At 41.8% G+C, this 11,014-nt stretch overlaps 1 long non-coding RNA gene across 1 annotated transcript; it reads left to right on the top strand.

Moving 5' to 3' along the window:
- The first annotated feature begins 1,406 nt into the window (after positions 1-1,406).
- LOC124904408 (uncharacterized) lies at positions 1,407-6,271 on the top strand. The gene is made up of 3 exons (XR_007066580.1): positions 1,407-2,089; positions 2,916-3,042; positions 4,355-6,271. It is a non-coding gene; the product is annotated as an uncharacterized LOC124904408 (long non-coding RNA).
- Positions 6,272-11,014: the final 4,743 nt, after the last annotated feature.

Genomic DNA, 11,014 nt, shown 5'->3' with positions numbered 1-11,014 from the left:
ACTAAAAAAACAAAAATTAGCCGGGCATGGTGGCGGGTGCCTGTAGTCTCAGCTACTTGGGAGGCTGAGGCAGGAGAATCACTTGAACCGGGAAGGTCGGGGGTGGGGGTTGCAGTTAGCCGAGATTGCACCACTGTACTCCAGCCTGGGTGACAGAGTGAGACTGCGTCTCAAAAAATAAATAAATAAACAAATAAAAGCTAGAACATAGATGAATGAGTGGTAACTGAATCAAGAGACCTGAGAAAGCTGAATCCTAAGCCTGCAGATGAGAAAGGTAAAGCAACTCACTTTACATTTCAGAATCCCCCAAATGCTCAGCAATTGGTGGCACCAGGTACTTTTGGAAATAAGGGTGAAGTTGTGGCTAAAAACAGTAAGTTGCATTGAAAATCAGTTCAGGAAACAATGAAAGCTCCAGGCCCCCTCTTCCTCTTGCTGTTAGATGGATTGCCCCTTCCCCACGATGTCCAAGAATGGAGGTTTTTCTGGTGGGAGAGTAAGACAGAGAAGGGACAAGGCACTATTGTGTGAAAGGACAACATGCTGGGAAAAAACAGGAGATTATAAGCCCATTGCCTTCTGCCATCTTCTCTTACTTAGGAAACCCTGACAGCCAGCCTGAATATTAGGAAAGCCTTCTCTGAAACCCTGACACACTGGAGAGAAATGCTCCAAAGATAACTCAGAAATGACAGCATCTCTGAAAGAAAAAGAAAACAAGAAGTATTAATAATATCTCCAGAGAAATAAGAGAACTAGTGCATATATGAAATAAGAACAGAATGCTATGTTTTAAAAGGAACATTCAGAGAACAAAAAAAACTTAGAAATTTAAATATGATAGCAAAAATATAAAAAAGCTTAGTAGATTTGGAAAGTAGAAGGGAAAGCAGAAAGATAACAGATAGAAAATAAAAAATATGGCCGGGCGCGGTGGCTCACGCCTGTAATCCCAGCACTTTGGGAGGCCGAGGCGGGCGGATCACGAGGTCAGGAGATCGAGACCATCCTGGCTAACACGGTGAAACCCCGTCTCTACTAAAAATACAAAAAATTAGCCGGGCGTGGTAGCGGGCGCCTGTAGTCCCAGCTACTCGGGAGGCTGAGGCAGGAGAATGGCGTGAACCCGGGAGGCGGAGCTTGCAGTGAGCCGAGATCGCGCCACTGCACTCCAGCCTGGGCGACAGAGCGAGACTCCGTCTCAAAAAAAAAAAAAAAGAAAAGAAAAGAAAAAATATAAGAGCAAAATTAGTTTATTTGGGAGATGACCCCAGTAAACATCTGTACGGGAGTAAAGTAACGAGAAAAGGATCCTACGGAAGTTAATATATCTTTTTTTTTTTTTTTTTTTTTTTTTTTTTTTTGAGACGGAGTCTCGCTCTGTCGCCCAGGCTGGAGTGCAGTGGCGGGATCTCGGCTCACTGCAAGCTCCGCCTCCCGGGTTCACGCCATTCTCCTGCCTCAGCCTCCCAAGTAGCTGGGACTACAGGCGCCCGCCACTACGCCCGGCTAATTTTTTGTATTTTTAGTAGAGACGGGGTTTCACCGTTTTAGCCAGGATGGTCTCGATCTCCTGACCTCGTGATCCGCCCGCCTCGGCCTCCCAAAGTGCTGGGATTACAGGCGTGAGCCACCGCGCCCGGCCGGAAGTTAATATATCTTGCAAGTTACTGTGAACCAGTGGAACTTGACTCCATCGGGGAACTCTGGGAGACCTGTGTAGAAAGCATGCTTCAGGGTTAAACCGCCTCATGGTTGAGCAAGCTGGGATATTTATCTACTAACTCTCATCAGTCATTGGTTAAGGGTCTCTCCCAGGGAAAAGGGGGTTAATTCCCCAGCACTTCCTGAGCAAACTTTCAGTAGCTAGAAAAAGCCCTCAGGCAAACAGACATATGTGCTGGCAGTTTTGAAGGCCTGGATGTTAAGTGCCAAGAGAATTTGGGCAGGGCACTGATGGCAAATGTTATATCTTCCCTGCACTCTCTCTTAGGAAACTACTGAAGAATGTGCTCCACCAAAACAGTGTTGTGAGTCAAGAAAGAGGAAGAGGCGGAATTCAGGAACCAGAGCACTCAACACAGAGGTGAAGAGAGTCCCCAGGATGTGGGTAAAGGGAAGTCCCAAGATGACAGATGCACAGCAGGCCTAGAGGTCAGTTAGCCCAGAGAGGAGCAGATCAGTAGGCTCTGGAAGAGCTCTCTTCCAGATGAAACTGATGGAATACCAAGTTTGTTTGGACATATTGAGAGGAGACTTAAACAACTACAGAGGAGTATGGATTAAATTAGTGGCATATGCATAGAAAAACTAGGCAAATGAAAAATGAGACAATTATTAACTCCAGAGAAAGCAAAATAGTTTTGAAGAAAGTGATCATAATTTATTATGCAACACAGGTGTGAATAGTATTTATTTGATCATAGTAATATAAACACTGAGTGTCAGTTTAATAGTGACGTAGAAATATAGGCCCATGTGGTATAGGAAGAGGCGAAAACTGAATCCCCATCTTCCACAGTGGAAAGTCAATAGAGAAAACTAAGAGGTAGCTATTTAGAGATACAATGATTTCCCTCCTCCCCCTAAAAAAAGATTTAGTGAAAGCATTGAAAGTGATTTCCTCTGAGGAGTGGGAAATGAAGGGGTGGAGTAGGGGAATGCTGTTTCTTGTAATTAGTAATTTAGAAATATTCGATTCTTTAAACTATGTGCATATTTAACTTTGATGTTTAAAAAAACTAAATAAAACTCAGTAATTTTTTTCCTTTGCTGTATGAAAAAGGGAGGAGGTGAGATGGAAAATGTACCTCATTCCTAGCTGATAAGAAAACTGGGCAGGCAAAATGAAACTTGCTTGTTCCATGAGTCCATCAACCCAGCAGGGTCAATGTCTTTTCCATCTTCTTCAGTCAGAAGAAAAGCTATGAGCAACTGGGAAATCAAAACTGAAATTCCTTTGAAAGAGCCATTGATGCCAAACTGACCTGAAATCTGGGGCTACCCTAAGAGGGCTTTGGCCTAAATAAATGGTCCAGGGTAAGTACAAAGAAAGGATTCTATCAAATGCAAAAATGAGACCAGGATTATATTAAGGGAGCTAGTAACAGCACTTGAGTGCAAGTAGAATACATTCTTAATTATGTCTAGTATGAATTTCTTTAAATTCTTTAAAAGCCAGTTGTTTTAAAATACAGAAATTAAAAATATTACTATATTGATTTATAGTTTTAATTTTAAAAACCATGGGAGTACTTTGTACAGTCTTTTAATTAACCGTATCTATGACTGAAATTGCACATCGTTTAGGTCTCTGGCCCGATCATGATACCAGAGTCTGTTACTTTCTGATTGCAGGCAAAATAACTACAGGAATGAGGCCTCCTGAAGGCAGAATCAGTTCTCCTTTCTCTTCCTGCCTTCAATCTTTACCTACTAGATCCTTCTCCTCAGCCTAGAAAAATGCCCAAAAAGTTCCAATCTAAAATAAAAATAAAGAAGGAATTCTCACTTAAGCTATCACCCAAACTTTCTCTTTTCCTTCATCATAATACTTCTAAAAAAATACGCTAACTTCCTTTTCTTCCTTTACTTCCTCACCACATACTACTTCTTAACTCCTTGTAATCTAGCTTTCACTTTGACCGTTGCACTGAACCTGCTGTCTCAGAGGTCTCAAAGGACTTCTTACTTGCTAAATTTCGGTCCTGCTTAGCCCTCATCCTCCTCAACCTCTCTGTTTTTGACTTTCAAAATGTCTCACTGTGTCTCTCTCTGTTGCTCTGTCTCTCTCTCTTCTCTCTGTCTCTCTCACCCACCCACCCTCTAGCCCCCTTATTCTGTGTTATTCCTCTCTTTTGGTTTTCTCTCCTCCCTTATTATTCTTCCTTTGAGTCTTCTGTCCCGCTCATTCTCTTAAGAATAGGCATCCAATGAGATCCCATGACTCCCTGCAATATCTGGGATCTGCCTATGTCTCCAAACTCATATGCACCCTGTTCCCCCTTGTTCATTTCACTCCAGTCACACTGATGTTTCAGTTCCTCTAATGGGCCAATGAGCTCTTTATTACCTTAGGACCTGCTCTCTCTACCTGGGACACTCTTCCCCATGTTCCCCCACACCCAAAGCGCTTCATCTGGCTATTTCCAAATCAACTTTCAGGTCTCAGCTTCATATTACTTCCTCAGAGTGGCTCTCCCTAAGTGCATCCCCTCCCCACCCCTCCAAATTAAATCTGTTTCCCCATTTTTTCTATTTTAGAAATAGTTTTTTTATCAAATTATTATATGGTTTAAAATGAAAGACTACTTGTGTGTTTATTTGCTTAAATCTCTACCTTTCTCTCCAGAGTGTAATTTCCATGAGGACAGGAACCATGTCAGTTTTGTTTAACACTGTATCCTTAGCATTCAACACAGACCTTGAAGCAGCAGACAACAAATATTGGTTGAATAAATGAGTGAACGAAGTGCCAGGCACTACAGTAAGTACTTCTTCCTGCCAGGCGCTATGGCAAGTACTTTACATATATCACCTCGTTTTTATTCTTACCACAACCCTATGCATAGGTACTACTATCAGATGAGGAAATGGAAGCTTACAGAGACAGACCAATATGCCCAAAATCTCACAGAAAAATGAATGTAGCTATCACGACGTGAAAAGATGTAGAGGAACCTTAACTGCAGATTATTAAGTTAAAGAAGCTAATCTAAAAAGCCTTCATACTGTATGATTCCAACTATGTGACATTCTGGAAACAGCAGAACTATAGAGACAGTAGAAAGGTCAATAGTTGCTGGGGGTTGTCCTCGGGAGGGATGAAGAGGCAGAGCACAGAGGATTTTGAGGAACGAAAATACTCTGTATGATATATAATAGTGGATACGTGTCATACATTTGTCCAAACCCATAGAATGCACGATGCCAAGAGTGAATCCTAATTGACACTACGGACTTGGATGGTGATGATGGGTTGATGTAGGTTCATCAGCTGTAAAAAATGTACCACTCTGTGTGGGGATGTTGATAATGGAGAGGGCCTTTGCATGTGTGGGGACAGGGAGTATATGAGAAATTTCTATTCTTTCTGCTCAATTTTGCTGTGAATCTAAAACTGCTCCAAAAAATAAAATATTTTAAAAATGAGTGTCAGAGGTAGGATATGAAAACATTTGTTTGACTCTATGTAGGGCTTAATTATAATATTATACTGCTTCCCAGTTGACAAATCTAATACTTTCACCGTCCAAAACTTCCCTCACACTTACTTCCTGTTGTCTGTTTCTATGGTTTCTCTTGAGTCCTCCTTCCAGGATCCATTCCAAGCCAGACAATGGTATGTGGGTGAGAAACTGTGGTCATGGAGGAGACTGGACAGACCGGAAAGCTTTTCTTTTCTAACACATGTTTCTGAGGAGCCCTCAGGAAGCCTGTGAACCAGGAAAACCACGGTGATGGTCAATGCTCTGACAGCTCCCCTGCCCCTTTCTCCATGCTCTTCTCCTGCCGTGCCTTCCCCAAGGCTGTGGGTTGCTCCCCACTGTGCTGCTCCCCTTGGGCCTTCTCTCCCTGCCCACATATGCATGTGCCAGCCCTTTCCCCTCACAAAAATGTCAACATAGAATGGTAAGTAGAAAAAAAATAAGATGCAATATCGTACAAATAGTTGTTATGGGTTGAATTGTGTCCTCCCAAAATTGATATGTTGGAGTCCTAACCCCCGTTACCTCGGAAGGTGACCTTATTTGGAAATAAGGTTGTTGTAGGTATAATCAATCAAGTTAAGATGAGGTCATAATGAAGTAGGAGGGAACTTAATTCAAAATGACTATTATCCTTATTAAAAGAATGCCATGTGGAGAGACAGACATGCACCAAGGATACTGCCATGTGGAGAGGAAGGCAGAGACTGGGGTGATGCAGCAGAAGCTGAGAAACACCAAAGACTTCCAGAAAAACAGCAGAAGACAGGAGAGAGGCCTGGGACATATTCTTTCTCACAGTCCTCACTAAGAACCAATTTGCCAACACCTTGATCTCAGACTTCTAACCTCCAGAACCGTGAGACAGCAAATTGCTGTTACTTAAGCCACTCAGTTGTGGTACCTTGTTATGGAAGTGCTAGCAAGCTCATAGAAATAACAGAATCCTGATCTTGTAAAGCAAAATAAACTCATGTATTACGGGTTATCATCTTGCATACGCACATACACATATACATAGATGAACACATAGAAACAATGAAAGGCAATATATTTTAAAAGTTATCAATACTTCTTTGGGGATAATGGATGCTGAGTAATTTTGCTTTGTACTTTTCTCTGCACCTTTGGGTATTTTCTCAGTTATCTTACCTCTCTACAATATTATGCATTATTACCTAGACCAGCGGTCCCCAACCTTTTTGGTACCAGGGACCTGTTTTGTGGAAGACTATTTTTTCCACAGGTGGGGCAGCAGTGGGGATGGTTTCAGGATGAAACTGTTCCACTGCAGATCATCAGGCATTAGATTCTCATAAGGAGCATGCATCCTAGATCCCTTCCATGCACACTTCACAATAGGGTTTGTGCTCCTATGAGAATCTAATGCTTCCACAGATCTGACCAGGAGGTGGAGTTCAGGGGGTATATGGCCTGGTTCTTAACAGGCCATGGACTAGTACCTGTCCATGCCCCGGGGGTTGGGGATCTCCGACACAGACAGATCCCCAGACCTCAGTTTCCTCATCTGTAATTTGAGAATAGTTATACCAATCTTCCAGCATTGTTGTGAGGAATAAAGTGCCTGACACAAATAATAGGTCAGTGGGTCTTCCTAGAATAGGGAGAGCAGCTCCAAAGAAGTAAACCTGGACAGACCTCTGTACCTCTATTCATCATCAGGCTTCAGTGTTGCTGCTAAGCAGGCATGCGGATGCTGCTCAGCACTGGCCTCCCTGTGTGGTAAGGGTGGGTGTGCAGAGATGAGATGGCACAGGGGAGCTAGCTGGATGTCTTGGGTTTGGGAAGGTCAGCAAAGAAAGGTAAGAGAGGGTGAAAGTTTGATTGAAGAATGTTGGCTATGTAAGGACAACTTAACCCATTGGGGTAACATTTCTTAGTTTGGGTTGGGGTCCAATGGGGCAACTGAAAAGGAAAAAGGAACCAAGAGAATAGAAAGCATAGCCAAGAAGCCCAACAATCCCCTCCTACAGGAAGAATGCCTTGCCTCCTCATTTCTTCTCTGAAACCCCTCTGGAAATGGGAGTGGACAATGTAACTTACTTATCATTTTCCACAGCCCATGGGAAGGTGTTCTTTCCCCAGGAGGAATGTTTCCCAAACAGCCCTCCTTCTGGCCTTATCTGTGATAAGTTGTTCTTTTCTGGGGACTGTTTGGGTATCCTTGACTCTGACATACTCAGTAGGGCAGGTTAATTCTCTTGAATCTTAAATTTAGCCATCTGTGACTTCATATTAATCTTTGGTCTCCAAAAACATTGGGCTGTTTTGCCTCTTTCTACTCACTTATGTCTTCTTTATCTTAATTCCAAATCCCAGCAACTCAGAGAAGAAATGGGTCCTGCAAATGATATTCACAATCTATTGCTTTATGGGAGGTCAGTGAAGGCCTTTCCCATTTACTTTGTTAAAATCTATATCTATTTTCATTCCTAATTTTTTATCTGCAAGATTATGTAGCAACATGGGAAACATTTATAATATTAAATAGTGAAAGAAGGGGACACAAAAATTGCATGTAAATTATGATTCTATTTGAAAAAAAGACTGAGCAAATAGACAATCAAAAAGACATACACACATACGAGAAAAATAAAACTGGAAGAAAACAGAGCAAAAAATGAATAATGACTATGGTAAAGTGCTGGAATTGTGGATTTTTTAAATTCTTCTCTATTTACCTAAAAATTTTAAGGTAATAAGAAAATACTTTTATAATTAAGAAACAGACTTACTAAAATAAAGTAGGGGCAGAAATGAGGAACAAAGTTTGCTAAAATAAATAAAACAGGAAAGCTTGTAGATAAGGTTTTATGGAAGTAAATATACGTAGCTCCCAGCTTAGTGTGTGTGAGCTGATGGAGAAACACGACTACAGAGCTCTTATGGAAAGCATTTAACCATTTGTCACCCTTGCAGTCTACTTCAAGAGTGACTAAAAGGAAGAACAACATGAGGAAGACTTCAAATGTGTTGAGGATTTGAGAAGAGGGGCTAGAAGTCCAGGCATGTTAGAGGTTTGGGGGCTGTAGAGAGATACTGTAGAAGTTACTAAATTGGGGGTTTTATGGGAAGTGCTTCAAGCATGACATTGTGAGGCTATGATACTGTTTATTTTTAGAAGTCCTGTTGAGAGGAGTATCTTTCACCTCTCACTAAATTAGCTATGCTCCTTGGAACCATGGACATCTTTCTGCTGTAGCAGCAATAGGATCAAAGCACGTGTTTAGAAAGAGAAGTGAAAAACACCAGATGTGAGCAAAACCACAAGGGGAATTTCAGACAGGCAGCATGCACCAGATGACCCAATTTGGAACGTGGCCCAGGCCCCAGGACAGGCAGACCCTGTAAGGATCAGGCTGGACAGTCAGAGGTTATTGATCCCGATTTAAGCCAAATGTTGCTAAAACTTGATCTGTGACCTTGCTTAAGCCATTGACCTCCTCTAAACCACTTTCACCATCTGTAAAATGCAAGGACTGTGAATTTCCTCTCAGGAATAGCTAATGGAAACCATGCTAAAAAGTAGAGATAAGAATGAAGCACGATCTTGCGATCTTGAACAATGGTGGTAAATTGTATTTGATTATATAAATACCACAACATACACACACTTACAGTGTATAGATGCGCACACTTTATGAGAAGAATGTGTATAAAAAACATAGAATTGGCCGGGCGCGATGGCTCATGCCTGTAATCCCAGCACTTTGGGAGGCCGAGGCAGGTGGATATCTTGAGGTTAGGAGTTCCAGATGAGCCTGGCCAACATGGTGAAACCCCGTCTCTCCTGAAAACACAAAAATTACTGGGGCATCCACCTGTAATTCCAGCTACTTGGGAAACTGAGGCACAAGAATCACTTGAACCCAGGAGGCGGAGGTTGCAGTGAGCTGAGATTGCACCACTGCACTCCAGCCTGGGCAACAGAGCAAAACTCCATCTCGAAAAAACAAAACAAAAAAACCCCATGGATTAAAGATTGTGTTCCATCAATTCACAGAGTAAATAATCTATGTGTTGACAATTGAAGGGGTAGAAAAAATATTTTTTCTCTTACACATAGCTCTTTAAGATTCCTAGGGCCAGATTCAGCATACTGTCTAGCACAGTTAGTGACAAATGAATGCTAGTATAGAATAGAGATTATGCTTCAAATTTCAACTGTCTTCACCACTTAGTTGCTATGTGGCTTTGGGTAAGGCACTCCATCATTTTGTGCCTTGGTTTCCTAATCTGTTAAATGGGAAAAATACTAGTATCTACCTCATAGACTTGTGAAGATTACATAAAGTGATATATCTAAAGAGCTTAGATGAGTGCTGGGTGGATAATGTTAGTTATTACTATCTTCTAAAGTCTTCTATGTGGACTTCAAAGCTCTCTGCATTTCTTTATTTCATCTCTGTTTTCTCATTTAAATGTTTCCCACATTCTTGCTCCATTCAAGAATATTTCTTGTTTGTCTTATTCATCTATGTAGGATATTGCTCCCTGTAGACTTTAAACCAGCTTACTCATTCCCCCTCAAAGCCATTACTGTTTTCCTATTTACGTCAATTTTGAGTCAGTCTCTAAGTTGACCCTACAACCAGAAATCTATGAAGCGTCACTCAATCCTCTGTTCTCCCACTCCTGGGCTTCTTATATAACAGGATGTCCTCTTAACCACAGGGGATGTTTCACTAAAATTAAAATGTATATCTTTATTTTCTTTAATAGAAGAAGTAATCAGTTATGGCATCACAGTATATAACAGAAAATCAGCTTGGGATCACTGAGCATGGCTGTCTTTAAGAGGATGGGGCAGTGAAAGGAGTCCTGGGTGCAGTGAAAATGCCTTCTACCCTTTGGAGAGATGTTGACATTGGAGAGAAAGAGGGATGCAGTACTGGGTCCAGGAAGGGAAGATGTTGGAATTCATCCTAGGTCTCATGTACCAAGGAAGTGACTCTGTATGAGAACAGAGGGGAAAATCAACAACTGATCAGTGATAACTATGGTATTTTGGCCTTAGGGCTATTAGGGGATGATGAGGGCAAAACTGAGAGGAATGTTAGGGAATCACTTTCTCTAAAGTATCAATATAAATTGACTCTACTTTTGGCACTCACGGAAACAGCAGAAAGAGGACATCACAACCCCTACCTGGACAACTTCTGATCCAGTTTCACCAACAACAGCGTCACTCCTTTCGAAGAGCACTCTTGTCTTCCACTGTTACCTTGTATGATTATGTGATTGTTATCGTCCTTATCATTATCACTCTCAAATCACTTGAATTTCTTGCATCCCTCCACTATGTTATCTTCTAAAATAATTTTACTATAAGATGATTTAATCCCATGGAAATTTTTGAGCCCCTATTATGAAGGCTAAATCCTAGGGAATACAAAGATGAGTAAAAGAGTCATTGCTCTTAAGGAGCTCATATCACAAGATTTAGGCAGATTGAAATTGCTAACCAACATTTAACCCAGGTCCAGGTGCTCCTAGTTATCTTCCCTATTGGTTTGTCTTGTCCTGTTCATTTATTTAACACATATTTATTTATTTCTTTATTTGAGACGGAGTCTCGCTCTGTCGCCCAGGCTGGAGTGCAGTGGCGCGATCTCGGCTCACTGCAAGCTTCGCCTCCCCTGGGTTCACGCCATTCTCCTGCCTCAGCCTCCCCAGTAGCTGGGACTACAGGCACCCGCCACCATGCCCAACTAATTTTTTTGTATTTTTAGTAGAGATGGGGTTTCACCGCGTTAGCCAAGATGGTCTCAATCTCCTGACCT

The sequence above is a fragment of the Homo sapiens genome, chromosome 1 (assembly GCF_000001405.40).
Source record: "Homo sapiens chromosome 1, GRCh38.p14 Primary Assembly".
NCBI lineage: Eukaryota > Metazoa > Chordata > Mammalia > Primates > Hominidae > Homo > Homo sapiens.
This window is presented reverse-complemented; position numbering and strand designations above follow the sequence as displayed.